This window comes from Homo sapiens, chromosome 22 (genome assembly GCF_000001405.40).
Source record: "Homo sapiens chromosome 22, GRCh38.p14 Primary Assembly".
NCBI classification, from domain to species: domain Eukaryota; kingdom Metazoa; phylum Chordata; class Mammalia; order Primates; family Hominidae; genus Homo; species Homo sapiens.
Genome location: NC_000022.11, coordinates 44,084,805 through 44,110,309, shown reverse-complemented (window position 1 = coordinate 44,110,309; position 25,505 = coordinate 44,084,805). Strand labels below are relative to the sequence as shown.

General features: G+C 51.5%; 1 protein-coding gene across 11 annotated transcripts in view, besides 4 other annotated features; it reads right to left on the bottom strand.

Annotated features, from left to right (window-relative positions):
* PARVB (parvin beta) overlaps positions 1 to 25,505 on the bottom strand; it is a 173,729-nt gene that overhangs the window by 62,630 nt on the left and 85,594 nt on the right. For 8 of the 11 annotated variants that reach the window (NM_001003828.3, XM_024452236.2, NM_013327.5 and 5 more), the window contains 2 exons: positions 16,293 to 16,382; positions 10,187 to 10,257 (listed from right to left, as the gene is read on the bottom strand). In NM_001003828.3, coding sequence (NP_001003828.1) covers positions 10,187 to 10,257; positions 16,293 to 16,382 — 161 coding nt within the window. Of the gene's footprint in view, positions 1 to 10,186; positions 10,258 to 16,292; positions 16,383 to 23,336; positions 23,356 to 23,489; positions 23,642 to 25,505 lie in introns of those variants that run through there. The other 3 variants (XM_047441350.1, XM_024452237.2, XM_047441351.1) reach the window with 3 other exon arrangements.
* Positions 1,276 to 2,170: an enhancer, noted in NCBI's record as "H3K27ac-H3K4me1 hESC enhancer chr22:44504020-44504914 (GRCh37/hg19 assembly coordinates)". NCBI's record gives its function as "activates a minimal SCP1, AML or CMV promoter by ChIP-STARR-seq in naive H9 embryonic stem cells {active_cell/tissue: H9 hESC(naive)}" and the evidence as "EXISTENCE:reporter gene assay evidence [ECO:0000049][PMID:30033119]".
* Positions 2,171 to 3,065: an enhancer, noted in NCBI's record as "OCT4-NANOG-H3K27ac-H3K4me1 hESC enhancer chr22:44503125-44504019 (GRCh37/hg19 assembly coordinates)". NCBI's record gives its function as "activates a minimal SCP1, AML or CMV promoter by ChIP-STARR-seq in primed H9 embryonic stem cells {active_cell/tissue: H9 hESC(primed)}" and the evidence as "EXISTENCE:reporter gene assay evidence [ECO:0000049][PMID:30033119]".
* Positions 3,066 to 3,961: an enhancer, noted in NCBI's record as "OCT4-H3K27ac hESC enhancer chr22:44502229-44503124 (GRCh37/hg19 assembly coordinates)". NCBI's record gives its function as "activates a minimal SCP1, AML or CMV promoter by ChIP-STARR-seq in primed H9 embryonic stem cells {active_cell/tissue: H9 hESC(primed)}" and the evidence as "EXISTENCE:reporter gene assay evidence [ECO:0000049][PMID:30033119]".
* Positions 4,055 to 4,555: an enhancer, noted in NCBI's record as "H3K27ac hESC enhancer chr22:44501635-44502135 (GRCh37/hg19 assembly coordinates)". NCBI's record gives its function as "activates a minimal SCP1, AML or CMV promoter by ChIP-STARR-seq in primed H9 embryonic stem cells {active_cell/tissue: H9 hESC(primed)}" and the evidence as "EXISTENCE:reporter gene assay evidence [ECO:0000049][PMID:30033119]".

Sequence of the window (25,505 nt, the reverse complement as noted above, 5' to 3'; positions counted from 1 at the left end):
TGCAGGCCACGCGATCTCATTTTCACTTATCAGGTCTGTCTCCCCAGCTGGCCTGGCAGCTTCTCCCAGGCGGGGCCTGTGTTTTGTTCAATGCCATATCTCAAGCGGCTAAAGCAGGCACAGACCCACAGAAGGGGCTCAAACTGCAGAACCGCCTATGAACTTTCTTTTTTTTTTTTTTTTTTTTTTTTTTTTTTGAGACGGAGTCTCGCTCTGTCGCCCAGGCTGGAGTGCAGTGGCGGGATCTCGGCTCACTGCAAGCTCCGCCTCCCGGGTTCACGCCATTCTCCTGCCTCAGCCTCCCAAGTAGCTGGGACTACAGGCGCCCGCCACTACGCCCGGCTAATTTTTTGTATTTTTAGTAGAGACGGGGTTTCACCGTTTTAGCCGGGATGGTCTCGATCTCCTGACCTCGTGATCCGCCCGCCTCGGCCTCCCACCTATGAACTTTCTAGAAAGGTCTCCTGGGCCTGCAGACATTTGGTTCCAGAGGCTGCCTTGCTCAGAGCTCAGTCTTGTTAGGAAACACACAAGATACAACATTGCTGCTATAAAGAAAACTGAAAAAAGAAAAAAAAAAGTCACATCTGGATTTCAAACCCAGTCCAAGACCAAACCCAAAAATAACAAACAGATTAAAATCAAATTCCATGCAGCAGGCCATGGCAGTCCTCTCTGGGAAGCAAAAGCTGTTCACGGCCCAGTTCCACTGCCACCCCGAGGAGGTACAACTTATTCCTGGATACCACAGCACACGCTGCCACTGTACTTCCCAGGCCATCCATCTTAATCTGCTATGCCACAAAAGACTTTTTAAAGATAGCACTAGTCATTATTTTTAGGGACGCACTCATTTGCCAGCCCTGAATCCTGTGGGCAGATGTCTAGGACATACATTAATTGTGCTCTTGCATACCACTCCATCACACACGTCTTATGAGCTTTGGCTTTAACCAGAATTTTTTTAAAAAATTACTTTTTCTTTAGATCCTTCTGAATTATAATCAGGATCTGCAGCCTGTCTCCCCCAGAGCTATGACAGTTATGTTTTAATCACTTCCAAAAAGAGTCGGACGAGGGCTGATTGCAACAGGCAGGAGGAGACACGGCCCGGTGGGGGCCAGGGGGCACGGGAGGGCACCTCTGTGCGGCTCCAACAGCACCAATTTCTGCCCAGAGGATCGTTTTCATGCAGCTGATTTTCTTCGGAGAGACAAAGGGAGGAAGAAAACAGAACTTAAAGACAGGAAGGGTCTTGTCCAATCAACCGGGGAATGAGATGTGAAACCTGCTCTTGGGGGGAGACGCACCCCCAGATGACATGCAGTCAGCCTGCTTTCAACCAATCTGCTTAGGGAGTTTTCTGTGTTTTTTTTCTGACACCCAACGTGTCATTCCTGTCAGGCCTCTGAGCCCAGGCCAGGCCATCGCATCCCCTGTGACTTGCACGTATACATCCAGATGGCCTAAATTAACTGAAGATCCACAAAAGAAGTAAAAACAGCCTTAACTGATGACATTCCAGCATTGTGATTTGTTCCTGCCCCACCCTAACTGATCAATATACTTTGTAATCTCCCCCACCCTTAAGAAGGTTCTTTGTAATTCTCCCCACCCTTGAGAATGTACTTTGTGAGATCCACCCCTGCCCACCAGAGAACAACCCCCTTTGACTGTAATTTTCCATTACCTTCCCAAATCCTATAAAACGGCCCCACCCCTATCTCCCTTCGCTGACTGTCTTTTCGGACTCAGCCCGCCTGCACCCAGGTGAAATAAACAGCCATGTTGCTCACACAAAGCCTGTTTGGTGGTCTCTTCACACGGACGCACATGAAAATTCCAACAGCAATTCTCTGATTATCTGATACCAATGGGGTGTCCTAGAGTTCAGTCTGATTCTAACACTAGCTACAGTTGACCCCACAGGCTGAGGGCTCAGTCCCACCAAATTGACTTCATTCCAGACACCAGCTGCAGATGGGGCTCCCAGGCTACTTGAGCCTCTTCCCACTGATTACAAATCAGGGCCCTCACCTCAGGTTCAGTGATTTGGCAGAACACACAGAGCTCAGAAAAGCATTTTACTGAGGATTACCAACTTACTATAAAGGTTAGAACTCAGGCACAGCAGGCCAGGCGTGGTGGTGGCTCATGCCTGTAATCCCAGTACTTTGGGAGGCTGAGGCAGGCAGATTGCCTGAGCTCAGGAGTTCGCAACCAGCCAGGGCAATATGGTCAAACCCCATCTCTACTAAAATACAAAAAATTAGCTGGGCGTAGTGGCGGGCGCCTGTAATCCCAGCTACTTGGGAGGCTGAGGCAGGAGAATCGCTTGAACCCGGGAGGCAGAGGTTGCAGTGAGCTGAGATTGCACCACTGCACTGTAGCCTGGCCGACAGTGTGAGACTCCGTCTCAAAAAAAAAAAAAGAACTCAGGGACAGTGTAATTAATAAGAAACACTGCACAGGACAGAGTTTTCGGGGAGGGAGGCGGGGCTTCCATGCCCTCTCCCTGCGTGTCCCCCTCCAGCACCTCCATGTGTGTTTCCCAGCGCCAAAGCTCTCTGAACCCCACTGTTGATGGGTTTTGCGGAGGATTCATTATGTAAGTGTGACTGATTACATCATTGGCTATTGGTGATTTGATTCACTCTCCAGCCCCTCTCCACCCCACCCAGAGGCTGGGGGTGGGTAGGACTGATAGACCCAACCCTCTAATCCTGTGTTGGTTACTCTGGGGCCAGCCCCCACCCTGAGTCACCTCGTTAGCATAAACCCAGATCTCATTATGAATAACAAAAGACGCTCCTATCACTCAGGAAATCGCAAAGGTTTTAGGCGCTACGTGCTAAGAATCTGCACCAGGACCTAGAGGCTAAGGCCAGGTCTAGGTTTCTCCTTATATGGCAACTGTACAGGTTTCCCTTGGCTATTCATTCTGGAAAGCATAAGAATAGCCACTCCCTCTTTTAAGAATCATTAAAAATTTAAAGTATCTCATCTATAAACCTCTAGTTGCCTGGGCAGCATTCAGTGTTCACCCATAAGTAATTCAGGTCACTGCTGGAGAAGGTTAGAGAAAATACACAGGAAGAAACACCAGCAAAGATGACTTTTGGATAAGTCTTCCAGGCTCCTGAACCCACCGGATGCATGCACCCACTTCCAAACTGGCATTGCCCATCTGTCCATTCAACTCCCTTCTGGGCTGCCCTGTTCATGCTCATGTTCCCACACTGCCCTTACACTGCTAACGGGTGATCAAGTGTATGATCTAACATTATCCTTACAAATGACACTTTGAGGTTGTCACGTTGGTGCTATTATTCTCCCACTTTAATCTGAGTTGGGATTTAAATCCAGGAAGCTGACCCTAGAGCCGACCTTCACCCCTTAACAGTATAATACATGAGTATAATCAATGCTCAGAGACAAGTTTTGAATGACTGGCCTCATTCTCAGTGCCTAGCTTACCCAGAGCTAAGGATTTTTTTTTTTTTTAAACAGGAGCAGAGGGCATCTCACAATATTTTATACAGCAACAGTCCTGAGGCAGCAGAGGTCAGAGGGGGTGTCTACTAGGGGAGACAGGACAAGCAATCAAGACAAGAGGAAAAAAGTGCAGATGACAGAGAACAGAGAAAGAGAAAACTAGAGGACCAGGCAGGCATCCTTGGAAATGTCCCCCATTTCCAAGGGGGACATTCAAGACTGCAATGTGGCTACAAGCAATGGCCACACCACCACAGCCAGCGGATCAGGATGTCAGCCAGATCTGTCTGTCCCCTGATCTGCTCAGGCCTGCATACGGTCTGTGCTTTGCACTAAAATCATCTGCTTCTGGACCAAATGCCTCCGAGGAACCACTGGGAGGTGGCTTCTACTAAGGCCTACTTAGATGTAATCCACTAGCATTAGATCATCACAGTCCACAGTACACAAAGGATGTTCTGGAAAGCAAAGAGAATTACGCAGGTAATGTGGATGGAGGTGTTTTGTCTGCACCATCCGGACTGTCCATCTCCTCCCAAGGGAGCACCTGGGACCACCTACATCAGCATCCAATCCACAGGTTTACCCCAACCCTCACCCCCTCTTCCCAGAGCCTCCTCCCTGCCATCTCACAGGTTTGGGGTAGAGCAAAAAAAAAAAAAAAAAAAAAAAAAAACACATCTGGCTGGGCATGCAATGGCTCACGCCTGTAAGCCCAGCTCTTTGGGAGGCCAAGACAGGCAGATCACTTGAGGTCAGGAGTTTGAGACCAGCCTGGCCAACATGGTGAAGCCCCCTCTCTACTAAAAATACAAAAAATTAGCCGGGCATCATGGTGCATACCTATAATCCCATTTACTTGGGAGGCTGAGGCAGGAGACTCACTTGAGCCTGGGAGGCAGAGGTTGCAGTAAGCTGAGATCATGCCACTGCACTCCAGCCTGGGTGATAGAGTGATAGAGTAAGACCCTATCTCAAAACAACAACACAAAACAACAACAACAAAAAGCAACCACATCTGTCTTGTCTCTAAGCCGCATGCCATCTTGGGAGACGCTGGTGTGAACCTCATGTTGGTGCTGCTGACACAGACCCCCATCGGTTCTCTTACTATCTATCAAGGATGAATTAGCTCTGCATGTGCAGCACAACTCCAGCCCTGGGGATTTAGCTGGGAAGAGAATGGTCATGGTCCCTCACAGCATAAGATTACATTCTAGGGGAGGAGAAAGACCAAAAACAAACTAGTAAATAGGAAATGACTCCAGGCAGCAGCAAGCCCAGCAAAGAAAAAGTAACTGGGGTTAGGAGGAGAGTGATGGAGTGACAGGGGCAGGAAATACGTCTCCAAGGAGGAAGCATTGAGAGAAAACTGAAAGAAGTGTTGAAGACAGCTCCAGGCATGGGCCTTTGAAAGTCCAAAGACCAGGTACGTGATAATGAACCTAACCTTGCCCACAGAGAGGTTGGGCCTGTGACCTCAGCCCCTGGGAGGTGATCTCCTAAGCTCCGAAATGCCCTGCCAGATAAAGTACCTCTGCTTACCTGGGGCCCTCGGGCCAGCCAGGGAGTAACTATGTCATTCAGGGAGGGGGCTTTGGGTTGCACTCTATCAGCCAGCTGCTGGAGGGGCTGGAGACAGATGAGCCATGTGGACAGTCAGCCACACCCATGCAAGTGAGCTCCAGCAGAAACTCTGGACACGGAGGCTCAGATGACCTCCCCGGCTGGCAATACTGCATGCGCATTGTCCCACATCACCGGGAGAGTAACGCTGCCTATGACCCCATGGTGAAAGGACAATGGAGGTGCTGTGTGGGTGCGTTCAACTCTGCCCTGGGCAACTCTTCCCTCGGCTGATTTTCATGTGTATCCCTTCACCATCAGAAACTGTAACTGTGAGGGTGACAGCTTTAAGTGGGTTCTGGGAGTCCCTCTAGCAAATGACCAAACCTCAGGGCAGTGTTGGAGATCCTGAACTTGCCATTGGTGTCAGAAGTGAGGGTGGGCTTGTGGGATGTCCCCTTTCACCTGATGCCCAGTGGGCACTGGCTCAGTGTGTCCTCAGAACAGCAAGGTGGTCAGGGTGGCTGGGGCAGTGAAGGAGGAGGGGAGGCAGGGAATGACACCTGCTCACCCCTACCCACACACGCATACTGCTCTGGCCTTGTGTAGTGAGGACCTGACTCATTCCCAAACCAGAAGAAAGGAGGTGCTGAAAATCCATGAACACAAGCAAATCCAGACAGGGAATATGCCTGGACGCACAGAGAGCCCCCTGCATGCCTGACAAACAAGAATCAACCAAGGGCAGCCCAAGCTCAGTATAGCCAACTCACCTGCTGCCACCCACACGCTGCTCTGTTTAAAAGGCTATAGTCAGTGAGAACTAATATTTAACGTATATCGCCTCTGTGCCACCACTACAGTAACTAACACGCCACCGACAGCCAAACCGAAGCTGCTCTCCGGGTTGCTGTGTCTATGCTTATTTTGGAAAATGATTGATCAAGAGTGGAAAATGTCTGCCAGCCTGCTTTGAGACGCAACCTGCAGTCTGAGAGCAGGTGGAGCCTTCCAGAATTTGCCTGTCTCCAGAAACACGTGCTCCAGGCTGGTGGGACAGTTGCAGTAACAGGCATCTCAGTGTCTGGCAACTGGCCCTTCCAGGAAATGGCCAAGGATGCTGCCGCTGCAGGTATCAAAACCCACCCTGCCTGGCCCCAGTGGCCAGGGCACGCCAGCTGCAGCTGGAGGCAGCAGCCTGGAGAACAGGATGGTGTTAGTTGCTTGTGGCTACTGTAACAAATTAACACAAACCCAGGGGCTTCCAACGGCTCAGTGGATTCTCTTGCAGTCCTAGAGGTCAAAGTCCAAAATCTGTTCCACTGGGCTAAAATCCAGGTGTCAGCAGGGCTGGTTCCTTCTGGAGGCTCCAGGGTTCCTTCTGGGTTCTCTAGTGGAGAATCCATTTCTTTGTCTTTTCCACTTCTAGAGGCAGAGGCCGCCTGCATCCATTAGTGCATGGCCCCTTCTTCCATCTTCAGAGCCAGAAGCTACCACCTTGCCTCCAGGGTCAAGCTGCCATGTTCATGGGCAGTCAAAGCTCCCCATGTCCCTCTTATACAGACACTAGCGAACACACTGGGCCCGCCTGGATCATCCAGGATGACCTCCTCATTGCAAGGTCACTAACTACACCCACCATGTCCCTTTGCCATGTAAGATGATAGTCAATGGCTCCAGGGATTATCACATGGTCATCTTTGGGGACCATGATTCTGGCCCAGGTTCCCTGAAAAACAGAGCCAGGACAAAGCTCACTGCTGATGCCTTTTCTTTGGCAGGGGTTTGGGGGTGAGGGGAGGGCACCCTAGACGAGCAACAGGGAGGGGAAGGGAGGTGAGGCAGGTGCATGAGCTGGCTATGGCTTCAGAAGAAAACCCAGCTGATGATCAGCCATGCAGCCCATCTCCATGAGCCATGGTCTCAGAAGCCCACATCAGGGAAGTCGGGGAGAGGCATTTATTCCTCAGCTCCTTCCTGTTCTTAGTTGTATTTTGCCCCATAGTTGTACTTTGCCCCAAAGGATGCTAATTAGCTTTCCCATCAGTCCACCCCATGCCCCTCAATGTGGCCTTCTTCTCAATCTGAAACCTGGAAGACATGCAGCAGCCAGCCCTCGCCCCACCAAGGCCAAAACAGCCTGGGGGTCTTTGGCAGCAAAGCAGCAAAGGCAGGGGTGGGTGGCACTGCAGACATCCAGGAGGAACATAAATCAAATCCTGCATAGCAGGGAAGTCACTTATCCATCCCCGAATCCCAGGGCCCAGCACAGGACCCCACACGCACTCAACTTGGCTCAGTGAACACAGCACCAAATGGACAGAGCCATTCAAGCCCAGACACATCACTAACCCCAGCACCTGGGGGTGGGGAGTTACTTAAACCTGTCTTTTTTTTTGAGACAGGGTCTTGCTCTGTCACCCAGGCTAGAGTGCAGTGGCTATTCACAGGCATAATCTTAGCTCATTGCACCCTTGACCTCCGGGGCTCAAGCAATCCTCCCACCTCAGCCTCCTGCATAGCTAGGATTACAGGTGCCTCCCACCACACCCAGTTAATTTTTTTTTTTTTGGTAGAGACAGGGTTTCACCATGTTGCCCAGGCTGGTCTTGAACTCCTGGGCTCAAGTGATTCCCCCCAACCTTGGCCTCCCAGGGCGCTGGGATTTCAGGTGTGAGCCATGGCGCCCAGCCCCTTCACCTCTCTCTGAGTCTCCACATGGAAGCAAGAATGACACAGCTCCCCAGGGTGTTGTTTCAAGGAGATAATCCTGTGAATGGAGTTTGTGAACTCTCAAGCATTGCTCAAAAATCAAAGAAAAAAATCTTTAGAAAGGTGCATGGGATGGTTCATCTTCTGTGTCAACTTGCCTGGGCTCTGGGGTGCCCAGATAGCCAATGAAACATTGTTTCTGGGTGTGTCTGGAATGGTGTTCAGAGGAGATGAGCATTTGAATTGGTGGATAGAGTAAAGCAGACAGCCCTCCCCAAAGCGGGTGGGCCTCATCTGATCCCATAGAACAAAAAGGTGGAGGAAGTTGGGATTCACCTCTCTCTGCCGGGGACTGCTAGTGCCAGCACCTGGATCTTCTCCCACCCTGTTCCCGGTACTCAGGGCTGCAGACGCAGGCTGGCATCTCTACCACTGGCCCTCCAGCTTTCTAGCTTGCAGATGGCAGGTCGGGGGACTTCTCAGCCTCCGTAGTCAAGTGAGCCAATATCATAATAAACCTCTCTCTAGATATTGACACAATTGGGTCTGTTTCTTTGTAGAAGCCTGATAATTCTCATGCATCCCTTGCTTAAATATCCCCCAAGAACAACATTTTCGTGGCTAAAAGACAGTGACTTTCCTCATCAACGTTCTTCTGTTTGAAATAACAAAGTGGGTATTCAGAGGGAAAAAATAAAACAAATTAAATAATTTAAGTTATTAATAATCAACATCTTTGGGTGGACCCTAAAACTGACATTTGGAATTTCTTTTTTTTTTTTTTCTGTGAGATGGAGTTTTACTCTTGGTGCCCAGGCTGGAGTGCAGTGGCGAGATCTCGGCTCAACGCAACATCTGCCTCTCAGGTTCAAGCAATTCTGCCTCAGCCTCCCGAGTAGGTAGGATTATAGGCACCCACCACCATGCCCGGCAAATTTTTTGTATTTTTAGTAGAGACAGGGTTTCACCATGTTGACCAGGCTGGTCTCGAACTCCTCACCTCAGGTGATCCACCTGCCTTGGCCTCCCAAAGTACTGGGATTACAGGCATGAGCCACTGCGCCCGGTCTCAATGTAGATTTTATTTTATTTTATTTTATATTTTATTTTTTATTTTTTATTTTTTTTTGAGACGGAGCCTCGCTGTCGCCCAGGTTGGAGTGCAGTGGCGCGATCTCGGCTCACTGCAGGCTCCGCCCCCCGGGGTTCATGCCATTCTCCTGCCTCAGCCTTTTGAGTAGCTGGGACTACAGGTGCCCGCCACCTCGCCCGGCTAATTTTTTGTATTTTTAGTAGAGACGGGGTTTCACCGTGTTAGCCAGGATGGTCTCGATCTCCTGACCTCGTGATCCGCCCGCCTCGGCCTCCCAAAGTGCTGGGATTACAGGCGTGAGCCACCGCGCCCAGCCTCAATGTAGATTTTAAAAGAACATAACTTGCAAGCCGTCTTACTTATTCTGAATGAGCCCTCATGAAAACACAGTTGTACAGCCCAGCATTGGGTCCACTGTGGTGGTGAAGGTGGAGAAGCTTTTTAAAAAGCACTTTTAATAGAAAAATGTCTGTTTCTGGCAGACACTGTCACCATCGGCATTTTCAAGAATCCCGGGGTGCCCAAGCTCGCCGTGGGCTATGGAAGCCAAGTGTCTGCCACAGCCGTGTGCCCAAGAGCCCACCCTGGGTTCACCAAGGTCAGGCAGAGCCCACAGCCTCTCCTCTTCAGGGGATTCTCTCTCAAGCCCTACCGTGGTTTCGATCAGAGCAACCAAAACTGCAATCTGTCCTTGGACCCACACAAGCACTGCCTCACGGTGAGCAGGAGCCACGCTGGAGAAGGACAGCCGCTGCCCAAGAAGGCCAGCACCATGGGCCCCTTCCCTCACTGTTCCCTGACTTCTGGGAGCGGGGCAGCCAGGTTCCTCGCCCAGCTGGGATTCACGCCTCCAGACGTGGTGGAAACTGACTGTCCACTCAGCGCAGGCATCGGCATCAGATGGCTCCTGGCCAGGAGTGGCCAGGGTGACCCCTCCTGCTTTTCAGGGTTAAATCTGAATCTAGACCCCACCAGGCTCCAGACGGAGTTCCAACTCCATCTGTAAGGTACTACACTAGCTCACGCCAGCACTCATTCCTAATCCTAAAATCCCCTCCTGCCGAGCTCTGTCCAGCAAAGAGTTCACAAGACTGGTCGTTAAAGCCCCAGCCGAGCAGGGCACATGGGAGGCGCTTGGCACTTCGGGCTGGATCCTCTCTGCCGTCCTCCTCTGCCAACATGTCTGCCCACCTTCTCATGCAGCACCAACATCCCTTTCAGGAGCCCCGGGTTTAGCTCCCTTTGTCCATGAGAGCCCTGAACCCCAAAGCCAAGTCCTCGCCCTAAGAGGAAGATTCCAACCAAGACGGAGCTCCTTACCTTGACCAGTTCCTTGAACTTGGGGTCTTCCTTGGAAGTGGGGTCAATCATCGTGCGCTCCTCGTTCTCCTCTGCCAGGGACAAAAGGAAGTCACGGTCAGCGATTGTGGGGGTGGCAGGGACACGGGGAACCAGGGGGAGGCCAACTCATCTCTGACAAATGGAGAAGCAGAGAACCCAGCACTAGGGGAGGGTGACTGCAAGGAACCGCCTTCTGGAAGGTGGATGGGGCATCCTCCCGCCTTCCCCTCTTCTGGAAAGGGATGAAGTCAAACTCATCATTCTGCCCGGCCTCGCTCCTCCCAGACTCCGCCAGCAGCTGGTCCAAACCATTTCCATTTTTCAGGAGAAATAAGGAGAGAGCAGCATTCACAGGGCATGAGATGCCTCCGCTGGCCGGAATCTGGTATGTGGGAAAGCTTCAGGCACCAGGTAGTTCCCTGTGGCCACTATTTATAAATACATTTGAAGAGTCTGGATGGTTATAATGAAATGGAAAATGTTTGGTACATTCCATGGAAAAGAATCAATATGCAATGTTGTATGTAAAATAACATGCAGAAAAAATATTGAGAAATAAATAGCAAAAAAAAAGGTGGGGGGGGATGATGTGTAACAGCAAAACGTGTTCAGCCTCACCCTCTTTCTATTTCTCTACCTGTTTGCTTTCCCTCCACGTTTCAGCCTGGATCCCACAGACACCAGGCAGCCAGCTGAGCCCGTCATGGAGGACAGTGCCGTGGAGACAGTGGGGAGGCGGGACTGCGGAGGGGGCACCCACCAAGGCTAGGCGTGCTCCACAGCAGAAATGCCCAGCACCACACAGAAGCCAGCGGGCGCCGAGCACCTCTGAACACACACAGGGAAGGGCAAGGGGGTCTCAGGCTGCCACACTGTCCAGCTCCGGGACCTGCACAGAGCATGGGTCGGGTGGGGCCCAGGCTCCACTCACCGGGAGGCTCTATACCACACCTCTCTCTTAAAGAGGAAAAAAGGCACAAGAGGGGCTCCAGGCAGAAGCCAGTTACCCCCAGGACATACAAGTGGAGATGGCCAGGACACAGTTGAGACCAGGGTCCCAGAGCCCAGACAGGCTCCCATGGGGCTGGGGACACTGACCATGTCGGTCAGAATGAAAACAGCTTTGAAGCTGAGCGTAAGTGGCTCCTGCCTACAATCCCAGCACTTTGGGAGGCTGAGGCGGGAGGATTGCTTGAGCCCAGGAGTTCCAGACCAACCTGGGCTACATAGTGAAATCCCTGTCTCTATTTTTAAAAATAAATAAAATAATAAAATAAAATAAAATACAAAAGAAAGAAAGAAAATGGCTTTGAGTGAAACTTTGCTGCTGACACGGATGTGATGCAACTTCCCGGCAGCAGAGTGTAAACTCTGACAACATGGAGAAACTAATTTTGAAGTCATACAGATCTGATGCCTGAAAAGGACACTCCAGGTAATGTGCAGGGAGTTCTCGGGAGTCCTGATGATATCTCTGCAAAGGCCTCCGCAGCCTCCCACTCCTGCTGGGATCAAGGCCGGCGTCCTCCATGTGGCCTCCAAGGCCCCTCTCCCGCCTCATTTCCTGCCCTCCTGGTGCAATCTGCTCCAGCCCATCCGGCCTTCCCTCACTCCTTGAAGCCTTGCTGCCACCTGCCCTGAGCCTTGGCACCTGCTCCCGCTGTCTGACACTCTCTCCCTGGCCCATGTTTCCTTCACCCTTCAGACCTCAGCTCCCCAGCTGAGATCCTTGAGCCCGAATGCCAAATCTTCCAAGCTCTCCAGCCCCAAAGAGGACTTTGTGTGCCTGTGTGACCCATGTCTGAGACCCCCTCTGGACCACCCATCTCAGGCGGGCAAGGAGCAGGGCCAGGCCGTGAGTCCACACGTGTATGAGAGGGGGTGCAGGACGGAGAGTGAGCAGGTCACTACCCAATCCCAGCCTTCAGAGAGCCCGTTTCTGGAAACATCCCCTTCAACCCACACTAAAAATCTCAGCATTGCCCTATCTAGCATGTCCCCACACCTTGCTCTCGCTGAACTGAGGAGAAGCAAGATTCGGGCCCGCCCAGCTCATGTGGCCCCCACAGGGAACTCGCTGCTCCCTCCTGAAGGCTCTGAGCCCACGTCTGACCCCAGACTGGGCAGCATGCCATGGTGGCTCGGATGTCCCAGGACTGTGTGCTTCTTGAGGGGTCCTGCCTCAGTCGGCGGGACCACTGAGAGGAATGGGGCGTCTGACCCAGAGACTGTGAAAGGTGGAGGACAGAGATGCCGTTTCGAGGCTTACTGTTACCAAACACTTTCTCAGAGGCATCTCCGGTCTTTACCTGTCCCCGTGGGGTAGCTTTCATTCCTGACCCCGCCTAGAGGGGAACAGTGGGCCTGAGAGGGTGGACAGCAGGCCCCAGGCAGGCAGCTATGTGTGGCAGTGTGTCCATGTCTGCAGATCCCGCCGGGATCTCCTGGTCACCTGGTGATGGTGACAGTAGGCCAGAATCAGAGGCTCTGCACAGACCAGGGAGCAGCTGCGTCTCACGGGGCAGGGGCCTGATTCAGAGCAGGCGCTTGCTCCAGATGAGAAACACCTCTGTATCTGGGGGCTCCAGAGCTCACAGTCAGCCCTTGCTGCCTGTCAGCATTCATGACCTGCTAGCCTTGACCGGGGACCCTGGACATGAAACCCCCGCAGGCCACTGCACATCATGGCCCTCAGTCTGCTACGGGCTGCTCACGCGGCCTAGAGGGGAGCAATTCCCAAACCTCAGTGGGCCCCGGAGTCACTGCAGGCATGTTTAAAGCAGAGGGGCCTGGGCCCGCATACTCCCATTTGGTAGGTCTTCGGGTGGCCAGGAACCCTCACTGCCAAGTGCCCTGGGACTTTCTGACATCCTGCATTGAGGAACAGGACTCCAGGGACTCTGGGAGAGAAGAAAAGGGCTGTGAGAGGCTCCTTGTTTTTCCTAAAAGGAAGCTGAGAGCAGACACCAGCCGCCATGCCATCTCTGAGCTGTGTGACTTTAGTGGTCGCTAAACTGTGCCATGCTCCTCTCGGTGGCTCCAAGACTGAGGCAGGACCCCTCGAGGAGCCCACAGTCCCGGGACACCACAGTGGGTACAGCAAGCGCTGCTCCATCCAGGGGGTGCCGGGGGGTCAGACATGGGCTCAGAATCTTCAGCAGGTCTGGGTCCACACAGGCTAGGTGGGCCTGGTTCAGGTTTCTCTCCACTTCAGTCAGAGGAGAAGCAGTGCCCAGAGGCCAGGGTGGTATCTCTGTGCCAGTGTTTTGTGGGAACCGAGCCCCCGCCCTCCCCACCTTGTGCGTCATAGCCAGCTGCAATAAAACGTGCCCAAGGACAGGGACCTGTCCTACTCACCTCTGATGAGGGCCACCATCTTCACTGAGAGGGTCTAGAGCAGGGGGAGGAGCCTAGCTCTGGGGGCAAAATGCCCGGGGTTCAAGACTTTGGCACTTACTAGTGATCTCTGTGATCTTAGATCTGTGCCTCAGCTTCCCCATCTGTACAATGGGGATAATGATACAACCCACCTCACAGGGTCACTGAAGGGACTGAGGAGTAGAAGCATTCACAGTGGACCCCCAATATTCGCTACAATGATGACATTTATGAGCCCAAAGGATATGAAATATACAAAGAGGACTTCAGAAAGAATCAGGTGCTGTGCAAATATTCAGTGAGTGAGTTCAATTATTATTATTTTTTGAGACAAGGTCTCACTCTGTTACCCAGGCTAGAGTGCAGTGGTGTGATCTTGGCTCACTGTAGCCTCAACTTCTTCAGACTCAGGCAATCCTCCCACCTCAGCCTCCTGAGTAGCTGGGACTATAGGCGTGTGCCACCATGCCTGGCTAATTATTTTATTTTATTATTTTATGAGATGGAGTTTCATTCTTGTTGCCCAGGCTGGAGCGCAGTGGTGCAACCTCGGCTCACTGCAACCTCCGCCTCCTGGATTCAAGCGATTCTCCTGACTTAGCCTCCCAGGTAGCGGGGATTTCAGGTGTTTGCCACCACACTCAGCCAATTTTTGTATTTTTTAGTAGAGACAGGGTTTTGCCATGTTGGCCAGGCTGGTTTCGAACTCCTGACGTCAGGTGATCCACCTGCCACAGCCTCCCAAAGTGCCGAGATTACAGGCCTGAGCCACCGAGCCTGGTGGGGCCACTCTCTTCTAAGCGGAGGGAGAGAAAGCCCCGTGGACCCTGGTGCGACCTCAGGCAGCATCACCAGCTCTGGCTTCGGGTCGGTTGGCGGCTGAACTTGCATCGGCGTTTCTTCTCCATAAGCTCTTGCTGGCCTGGCCTCGTCACGGAAACCACAAAAAAGGGATGAACCGGGACTTCCCTTCGAACCAGGGTTTGGAAATACGCAGAATGTTCCATAAATGCCTTCCAGATCAGCTAGATCCCAAAACACACTTTAAGGAAAATGTGTCTTGGCTGTTACCCATTACATCAGGCAGTGAGCGCAGGGGCCTGGGCCACTTGGCAGAGCCCACCCTGCAAGCCCAGGCCGCGGGCAGCTCTGGCTGGCCCAAAGGGAAGAAGCATATTAATTGTGTTTTGCATTTTCTTTTTTTCTTTTTTTTTTTTTTACTTTGAGATGTCTCGCTCTGTCACCCAGGTTGGAGTGCAGTGGTGCGATCTCGGCTCACTGCAACATCCCAATCCCGGGTTCAAGCGATTCTCCTGCCTCAGCCTCCAGAGTAGCTGGAATTACAGGCTAGCCACACTCGGCTAATTTTTGTATTCTTAGGAGAGACGCGGTTTCGCCATGTTGGCCAGGCTGATCTCAAACTCCTGAACTCAAGTGATCCGTCCACTTTGGCCTTCCAAAGTGCTGGGATTACAGGTGTGAGCCACCGTGCCCGCCCTGTTTTCTGTATTTTCTGGTGCTTGGCATCTCGGGGCCTTGCTGACTCTGGAGAGATTGCACCTCCAGGGCAAGCTAATTCCTAGAGATGGTAAACCACCCTCTGTGAGCACACCTTTCATATGAAAACCACTCAGAGCCTGAGCCGCAGAGCCCAGAGTCCCCAGCCACCTCTTTCCTTGGGCTCTCACGGGGCTCCTACACTCCCAGCCAATATCCTCACCCTAATCTCCCCTGGCCCTGGGGACATGCCACGCCACGCCACACCATACCACGCCACGCCACGTGGTGTGGAAGAAGAAGAGTCTTCTTACTGAGAAGACTCAGGACAGCTCCTGCACCGCAAAGCCCAGTGAAACGATTCCAACAAGCCAGGCCTAGGCCTGTTCACCCAGCCTTGCCCATTCCTTCAGAGAAAGCCACAGTAAGGGTGTTGGGGCCAGGCGCAGTGGCTCATATCTGTAGTCCCTGCACTTTGGGAAACCGAGGCAGGAGAACTGCTTGAGCCCAGGAGTTGGAGACCAGTCTGAGCAACATGGCAAGACCCCATCTCTACAAATAAATTAAAAAGTTAGGTGGGCGGGGTGGCACATGCCTGTAGTCCCAGCTACTCAGGAGGCTAAGGCAGGAGGATCACTTGAACCTGGACGGTAAAGGCTGCCATGAGCTGTGATCATATCACCGCACCCCAGCTTGGGTAACAGAGTGAGACTCTATCTCAAAAAATATATACATAAAATATCAAATAAAGGCATTAGCCCTGCTCCTTCTGCCTCTGCCTCACACTAGTGCTTTCCATGTGGCCTTCTGTGGCATGGTGTGCTATGGTGTGGCGTGGCTTGGCATGGTGTGGCGTGGCGTGGCATGGCGTGGCATGGCATGGCCCTGAGTGGCCTGCTACACCTCCTTTCAGAACTATGAGTTTAACAAACTATCTTTTCAAGTCAGTCTTCTCCCAATCTGTTTGCTTCACCACCTGAAAAATAAAACTTACGTTTTAAGACTAGGGCAGAAACCCTTAATGAAGGACTTGCTTTTCCCAATGGACTTTTCTAAAGATGACCTTGAGCTAAGAACTTAGACTCCCAAATGCCCCCAGCATCTGATCAAGAGGCCAGATCTATCGGGCTCCTCATTGGCCTCCCCAAGACCAACTTAGTGCCACGGAAGCTCAACTGTCTCAGGGCAGGGAGCGGAGGAACCCCCGTACCAAGCTGGGTGTCTTCAGGGTGAACATCCACCAGGGCGGGGGACATCGGTGAGTTGATGGCATTCTTGCCTTCTTCCTGCAGGTCACTCACTGTTGAGCAAAAGGAAAGAAAAACCAGGTTAGTATACACGGAGTGCCGTGGCCTCACATGTTGGCTGTGGACGCAGAGAGAAATCAATTCCTGTTTTTTTCAGCATTTAACAAACATTCCTAAAAGGTCTGTTGCCCAGAAAGAGTCAGAGGGAAAAATGCTCTGAACCAAGAATACATTCTGCAGTTCCTCCCCACCCCAAATATTTCCCAGGTCTCGCTGAGCTCTGCCAGTCTGTTTTCACTGCCCTTTGAAACTCATAACTAAGACACCAAAGCTTCCAGATGCCTCCAGATGCTTCCAGATCTGACCAAGACTGCTGAGGCAGACAAAGCATGGACCACAGCGATGGGGCATGAGAGAGTGGGGCTGCCTTCCCTCTGCCGGGGGGCTGCGTCCTGAACCACGGACTCAAGATGCTAACCCCCTCCGGTCATGCATACAGGTGAATCTGGAGTTTAAAGTGGGGTCACTGGTGATGGCCACATTCACAGGCACAGAAATCTGATGGAACACCCGGGTCAGGATGGCTGGAACATGCAACAGAATCTAATAAAGAGAGCCAGAGGCTCCAAGTCAGAAACACCATGACCTCCTGTCTCAAGGGAGTGCTGAACAGTTACAGGATCTGGAACGCCCAGTGATTAGGGACAATCCCAGAACCAGAAATGACCCCTCATCTCCCTGCACCAGTGAGACCCTGCAGGCCTTTCAGCCACATCCACCAGGGAGGAATACCCACCCACACAGACACCAGGTGCCAAAACCCTTGCTTCTGTAATGTCACGCTTTCTCCACAGTCACAGCCTCAGCCTCTGCTGCATGTAAGACTCGAGGTTCCAGCCCCAAGATGCATCCATGGTGCCGGGTGCAGGTAGGGCCCTGGCCACTTTCATGGCACTGGTGGAGGGCCGCTGGGGAGCAGTCCCTGATCACATGCTGCAAAGGTACCCAGGCCAGTGTGCCCGGAGCTGTACCTCTTTCTCCATGAAACAGGTTCAGAAGTAAAATGGTATTTCCTCTTTTAACACCAGAATCACCTTGAACCTTGAACACCTCTAGCTCTGGACATCCAGCCTCCACAGCGGCAGATGATGGAACAGCAAGGGGGTGTGGCATGATGGCTTTGGAGCAGCAGGCCAACAGGGCCCCACTCATGCTGGCCGTGAGACCCCAGGTACATCCCACTCACCTCTCTGCACCTATTTCTCCATATGGCATTTATAGGTAACACTGTAAAAATGCCAGGGCCTTTGGAAGGGCTGAATGTAACCATGAATGTTGAGCGTCCAGTCCAGAGCATGGCACATGATGGGCTCTTGGGACACGTCTGTGGACCCAGCCTTCAGGACGACACAACCTCCATCCTTCATAAGGACAATGGCAGCAGGGCCCAAGGATGCCAGCTCCTCTCATGTCAGCAAAGGCCGATATTCAGCTTCTTAAAAAGCGGACCCTCTTTTATTCCCATTTTCATAGCTGCAGGACTCAAAATAGCCCAAAAGTAGAAATAACCCAGGTCGGGTGCGGTGGCTCACACCTGTAATCCCAGCACTTTGGGAGGCTGAGGCAGGTGGATCACGAGGTCAAGAGATCGAGACCATCCTGGCCAACATGGTGGAACCTTGTCTCTACTAAAAATACAAAAATTAGCTGGGCGTGGTGGCGTGCGCCTGTAGTCCCAGCTACTCAGGAGGCTGAGGTGGGAGAATTGCTTGAACCCAGGAGGCGGAGGTTGCAGTGAGCCAAGATCACACCAGTGCACTCCAGCCTGGTGACAGAGCGAGACTCCATCTCAAAAAAAAGAGTGGAAATAACCCATGTTTCCGCACATGGAATTTATAGGTAACACTGCAAAAATGCCAGGGTCTTTGGAAGGGCTAAATGTAACCAAACAATGAACATCAAGTCCCCAGCCCAGAGCATGGCACGTGATGGGACTCTCAGGACGTGACCGTGGACCCGACTTCCAGGACAACACAACCTCCCTCCCTCATAAGGACAATGGCAGCGGGGCCCCAGGATGCCAGTTACCCACTCCCCCGAAGGTAATATATTTGCATTTTAAACAGGCACCTTATCCTAGAGGACTGCCTGATGCAGGAGTATCAGAGCCTAGGTACAGGTTGGGGTTAGGAAGTTCTTTGATTCGAGGGAACCTTCGGGCACTGCTGCAGTCACTGAGTCTTGGCATTTGAGAACACCAGATGAATGAGTAAGCAAAAGGTAGTCCACGTATACAACGGAATATTATCTAGCCCTAAAAAGGAAGGACATTCGGACCAGGCTACCGCATGGGTGAACCTTGAGAATGTTCTGCTCAGTGAAATAAGCCAGACACAGAAAGTCAAACACTGTACAATTCCACCAGTAGGAGGTCCCTCGAGTAGGCGAATGCATAGAGGAGAAAGCAGTCTGGTGGATGCCAGGGGCGGGGGAAGTAGCAAATAGAGAGGTAGTGTTGAATGATGGCAGAGTTTCGGTTTGGAAAGATGAAAGAGTTCTGTGGGTGGGTGGTGGTGATGGCTGCACAATGAGAACGTACTTAATACCAGTGAACTCTGCTCTTGAAAATGGCTAAGATGGTAAAGTTTACGTTATGCCTATTTTACAACAATTTTTTTAAATAGCAAAAAAAAAAAAAAAAAAAAAGCAGGCCCTCTCCAGGTAACCCACATTCCAGCCGCGAGCCAGCCTGGCTGCCGCACACACTGTCCTCCACCCACAGCCAGCATCCTAAGGGAAGATCCAGGCACCACTCATCCTTGAATTTCCAAAATCCTTAGCATAACGCTACACCAGCAGTGGACAAATGTTAAATACCTTCACAGGGAAATGATACAGACATAGAGTTTTGAGACTCCCTCTGCCCCACCTCTCTAAAAATAATCCAGAAGAACCCCCACAGGTCACCCAGATCAGCTGAGAAAACAGGGACCAAATTTCAGCAAGTATTTGTACCACATGACGAGTTACAAAGAGAGTTGTAACCAGCAGAGAGTCTTAAAAGGCAGAAAGGAAACAGGGAAAAGTGATTTTTCACAGAAATCCTTGGGAATATGATAGCCCTGGAGCACAGGGGGTCGGGGTGGAAGTTCCATGTCCTGGCTGGCATCATAGGAGGACACAACAGGGGCAGGGAGGTCCCGTCCAGCACAGCTGCCTGCAGTGCTCACGCTGATGGCAGAGGAAGAACAAAAGACCCAGTTTCCCTATGTGTGGAGGATTACACAGGTGGGCTACGCCCGAGAGTCCTCTTGGCAAGGCCCGAGAGCTGGCACTGCACCCATGTGCCTGGGCCTGAGGGGTGGGGAGGGAGACCTCGGGGCAAGTGGTCAACGCTTCGAGGCAGCCCTGCTCACCTGATTTCAAAAACACAGAGAGGGAGGAGGAGAGAAGCCACATTTTGAAAGCCTAGAAATTGGGTCATATCAAAACAGAGATTTCCACACCGCCCTTGAACATCAAAGATGACACTAAACAGGGCCAGGGATTTTGTGACCTTAATAAATGAGAAACGTGCTCACGAACACCGCCCAGGGACTGCTCAGCAGCGCATTCTGAAGGGGCTGGTTATGCACGATGGCCTGAGGGAAGCAAAGGCTTCGGGGACCAGGAGGAGGGGGGCACAGGCTGGCAGACCCCTCGGTTGGCAGGAGGAGCCCAGGCCTGTGGCCACAGAGCCCCAGTCCAAATCTCGCATTGCCACTTGTTGGTGTGTGGCTTCGGGGAAGTCCCCTCACCGCACTAAGCCTCAGTTTCCCCATCTGTAACATGGGGTGGTGGGAATACCGGCCTCACAGGAACTTCCTCACATTTCCTGAGGAATAAGGGGAACCGTGAGCACCCACACATGGCCCACAAACTACTCCCTGCAAGTGGGAGAGGCAGCTGTGGATGTACAGGGTCTCTGTGATTAGGCTCCAAGAGAGACACAGACTGGAGGAAGAGTGACCACAAGGCAGGCGAGGTCCCCTATTCCACAGAGAAGCATGGAGGGCTTCCTGGAGGAGGCAGCAATTGAACTGGCCTTGAAATATGGCCAGGCTAAGGAAAGGGCCTTCGGGGCTCTTTGCAGAGTGCAGTGGAGACAAACCACAGCCAGCATGTCCAAAGCTGAACCCCATGAAGGTTTGAGGGATGCCCTTCTGGGCCTTGCTATATTTTGCAGCCTGGGTTCCCTTATGGACACAGCTCCTTTGCAGAAGAACTTGCAGCCTGGATCTGATCGTCACCTTCAGAGGATCGGTGTGATTTTTGGAAGGAGGGGCTCCTCTCACACCCTTGGCTTCCCCCCTCCCCCGACCCCCCCGCCACCTGAACGGTGCCAGTTTACTGGCTTTCAGTGAATCCCAGGAATGTTTTGGTTTTTAAAGTACCGGTCTACTTGCCAGAAAGACAAACCCTTCAAAGATGTGAAGTGCCGGCTGTCTTCAGTCACAGAGAAAGATCTGCTGGCCCGGGTGTGCTGGCCCGGGTGTGCTGGCACAGGCGCGCTGGCACAGGCATGCTGGCATGCATTCTCTCAGTGTCTGGAGGGTGTGGAGGGTGTGAGCTTCCAAGGGACTGGGGCTTGATTTCATGAGATGGGTGATTAAGGGAAAAAGACCGCCTTGTGCTTGTTTTCCTAAGTGTCTGCATTGTTCTAAGATGAATGTCTCTGTCCACACGAAACCCAGCAGCCAGCCACGAGGGAGTCGATGCCAACTCGTTCCCACCGCAGCAGAGTTCACCTGCAGCACCACGCTCTGTGGCCTGCACGGGGGGCCAGGTAGGAAGAGAGAGACAGGAGGGCATTTGATAGGAGGAGGGCCCCTTGGCACACTGTCTCTGGAGACGGGCACTCCTCGCTCAGCCCGGGATGGCAGAGTGGGAAGTGCAGGCTGCAGTCACCAGATCTGAGTTTTCAAGAAAAGCTGGAAATGTGGGGTTTGGTGTGGAATCTCCCCATTTATAAATACGAGCCATTAATTCAAATTTTGTGGGCCAGCCAGAGGGCACACAACCTCGGATTACAGAACATACTTGTCCAACCCATATTGCTGACTGTCCATTGGAAAGGGGGAGAGCACCACTAACGTTTCCTGAGCACCTACTATGTGCAGGGCATCTTCCATGCCAGCCATTCACCTTGTCTCCTAACAAGTCTGAGGGAGGCCGGGCACGGTGGCTCAAACCTGTAATTCCAGCACTCTGGGAGGCCAAGGTGGGCAAATCACCTGAGGTCAGGACTTCGAGACCAGCCTGACCAACATGATGAAACCCTGTCTCTACTAAAAATACAAACATTAGTCAGGCGTGGCAGTGGGCGCCTGCAATCCCAGCTACTTGGGCGGCTGAGGCATGAGAATTGCTTGAACCTGGGAGGTGGAGGTTGCAGTGAGCTAAGGTTGTGCCACTTCACTCCAGCCTGGGCAACACAGCGAGACTCCGTCTGTCTCAAAAATAATAACAATAATAATAAATAAACAAGTCTGTGAGGGAGTGGCTGGTCCTGTGCTGTTAGATGTGAAGCCCCAGAGTCAGGACTAAAGCCAGTTCTACCTGATCTTGCACCTCACTGTGCCCTACTAAATCCTACCTATCTTCAACCTCATCTTACTGGCCGCCTCCTCCAAGAAGCCCTCCTGGGTGTTCCCCTCTCCCCAGCTGAAGCCACACAGCCATGTAACTATCTCCTTCCCGAACTTGCCTTCCTGCCAGTGCCAACCCAGTTCCTGCACATAGTAGGCCTTTTAATATATTCAAGGAGCAGCACAACAGAGAGCTTAGAATCCCAGAGCCAGGCTGCTGGTTTTGGATCCCAGCTTGACCACTGACAAGGTGTGTGACCTTGGGCAAGCTGCTTGACGGCTCTGTGTGTCTCAGTTTCCATCTGTAAAGTGGGGCCTAACACACCTCAGAGAGATCACAAAGATTCAGGGACACACACCCTCGGCACAGTCGCCAGCATGCAGCCACCCCTCGGGAAGCGTCAGCTTTGAGTAACTATAATGGTGGAATATGTGCGGCTTCCAAAGCCTCCACCCAAAGATTGGGCAAGGTTTAAAAAAAAGAAAAAAGAAAAAAAAAAAAAAAAACACCATCGTTCCTGATTTGGAATTACAAGAACATAAAAGGAAAGAAAGAGAATCAAAAACTAAAAGCATGTCATCAGAAGCCTGCCATTTATACCTCAGGCCAAATGCGAAAGTTCCATCTTTGATTTTTTTTTTTTTAATCTTCTTCTTTGTATGGTTGTATTTATTTATTTATGCCCAGGCTCTTTCCCAAAAAAGGATTTTCAGGCAGCTTTTTTTCCCCCTTTTGATATTATTAGGAAAACAACTTTGAAAGCAAGCTGGTTTAAAGAACAAGGTTACCTTAACGGAGAGAAGAAATCTGAAAACACAAAGGCTGATCAGCTTCTTGCTCCACTAGCAGAACCAGGGCAGGACACGGGGGATGGCAAGGCGCCCCTGCAATCACGGGCCCAAGAGCCTCACTGGGGGCTTGCCTGGAGGGTCTGGCCCAGACACAAAGGCCCAATGGAGGCTGAGCCACAGGTCCTGGGGGGCCAGAGCAATGGCAACTCCATTTTCTGACACTTTTCTAAGTGTGTCATTTCAACACAGCAGAGATGCTTTGCCACCTACGGGGACTTTCTACACCATCCGTGCAATTCCTGGTTTTCATAGAGAACAAAAGATCAGGGCGAGAAATTTCAGAGGGCCCCGTCTGAACCAGGATCAAAGAGAAAACCCCAACAAAAACAGCCATTCTCCATCCCTGCACATCTAAAAGAACTGGAAAATGGCAGGAAAGCTGCCCCAGTTTTAAACACTTAACCAGCCCTTTTCAAATCCTACCCACTTCTAGTTACAACTGATCCTGCTCAAAGAAACAGAGTGGTCTTCAGAGCTTGCGGGAGGATACAGGAGGAGAAAGAAAGGTGCGGCTCTGTGCCAACTCACGCCACCAGCTCCTCTTCCCAGCTGGGGAGGGGGCATCGGGATCCTTCGCTTGGGCTTAAGCAGGAACCCAAAGACATCTCTGTTAAATGAGGTTTTCCAGGCCTCTGCCAGGAAATGACAGCTTTCTATGAATTTTCCAACTTCCATCCGTACTCAGAGGGGTGTGGTTTCTTCGTAGAAGCTGTAATTTATCAGAATAACTAACTTCATCAGGCACGAAGGTCTTCTTAACAGAGCAGTTTTTCTAAAAATAAGTCCAGTTGTACTTCAGTGAAGATCTTGCAGCTCAGTGGAGTTAAAATAAGACCTAAGTGAGATCTAAATCAGAATAAAAACATCATCAGCCTCGGCAGCTGGGAGGAGATGCTGTTGGGCAGTCTTTTCTGACATCCAGAAGGAAGGTGATTGGAGGGAGTCGCGGATCATAATTCAAAGGGCTGAGCTGTTGCTGGCACATCACGCGTGCAAAGGCCTTGAAATGTGAGGCCTGGCCCTCCCCAGGAGGTTACGAACTCCAAGTCCAATCTCCAAGGTTCTTGGGATTACAAATCGGAGGAATAACAAAGTGTCTTGCCTAGGATAAAAGGCAGCAAAGGCTAACAGTGCCAGAGAGCAGCTGCTCCTCCTGGCCCGGACATGGGAAAAGAGGGAAAGGACTTCCAGTGATCCATGGAGCACAACATACAAGAAAGCGCTTCTTGACGTTTCAAGTGGCAGATGTAGTTTGTTTTTGCCGAGAAATGGATGTGGGCCCTTGTCATGCAGGATGCCGGCCCAGGGTAATGAGCTCGGTGTATTTATGTACATGTAACTCACTATCATCTCTAAGCCAAGGATGAGTTTCTGAACGGTGCTGACATGACTAGAGGAGTAAGAAAGCCCCGTGACTGTGGCCCAAACCGGAAGGATCGCTCAGCTTGAACATCTGATTTATGGGGCTTGTTGTGCTGGGGCATGAGGTTCCAGCCCATTTCTCAAGATGAAATAAGTTGAGAAGCTAAAAGAAATGTGTGAACATTTCAATAAGGTAAATCCAAAGAAGGTCAACAGGTGGCGCAGACTCCACATCAAGAGCTCACTGCTGAAACCCTGTCCTATTCAGATGGCAGCAAGCCTTGGGCATGACAGCCTGCTGATCTAACTAACACTGGTGGATGGATGCCAAAGGGCTGGGCATGGGGCTGGGCAGGCCCTGCCCTTGCACCGTGGAGAGTCTGCGTGTAGCCGAGGGAAGACGTATCCTGGTCACTTCCACCCAGCAGCCGACCTCGCACCTGGCACAGAAGGCTCGTGAAGGATTCGATGCACAATTAATTAAGTGCAATACATAGCATGGTGTTGAGATTTTTTAAAAAAGCAAAAGCAGGTTGGGCCAGCTGCAGTGGCTCACACCTATAATCCCAGAACTTTGGGAGGCTGAGGTAGGTGGATGGCTTGAGCTCAGGAGTTCGAGACCAGCGGGGCAACAAGGCAAAACCCCATCTCTACACAAAATACAAAAATTAGCCAGGAATGGTGGTGTGAATCTGTAGTCCCAGCTACCCAGGAGGCTGGGAAGAAAGTTTGAAGCCGAGAAGCGGAGGTTGCAGTGAGCCAAGATCACGCCACTGCACTCCAGCCTGGGTGACAGAGCCAGATCTTGTCTCAAAAAATTAAAAAGAAAAAGAAAAAGAAAAAGAAAACCATGTTGCAGAACAATACAGCAAAGGCTGGGTGTGGTGGTGTACATCTGTTGTCCCAGCTACTTGGAGCTGGGGTGGGAGGATCACTCGAGCCCAGGGGTTCAAGTCCAGCCTGGGCAACATGGTGAGACACTTTAAAATAAATACAGCATGATATTTATGTAAAAAATACAACTAGAAAACTCACCACTATGTATTTCTATGTGTACGTATCAAAATTCACAGAAAAAGAAATGAAAGGGCATGCTCCAGAATGACAAGAGCAGCATTACTGATGCAAGGCCCAGTGGCTGAAGGTAAGGAGGAGACAGAGGGAGGCTCTGCCACCAGACTGTGTTCTTGTACTCCTTTTGAAATAAAAATAAAGCTACAAGAATGGAAAATAAACAGATGTCCTGGCAGGGTTATGTACAGGGTGCAGTGGGGACCCTAAAGGAAACAAAGTGGCAGCCAATTCTACAGGGAAGGACACACACTGGGTTCAACC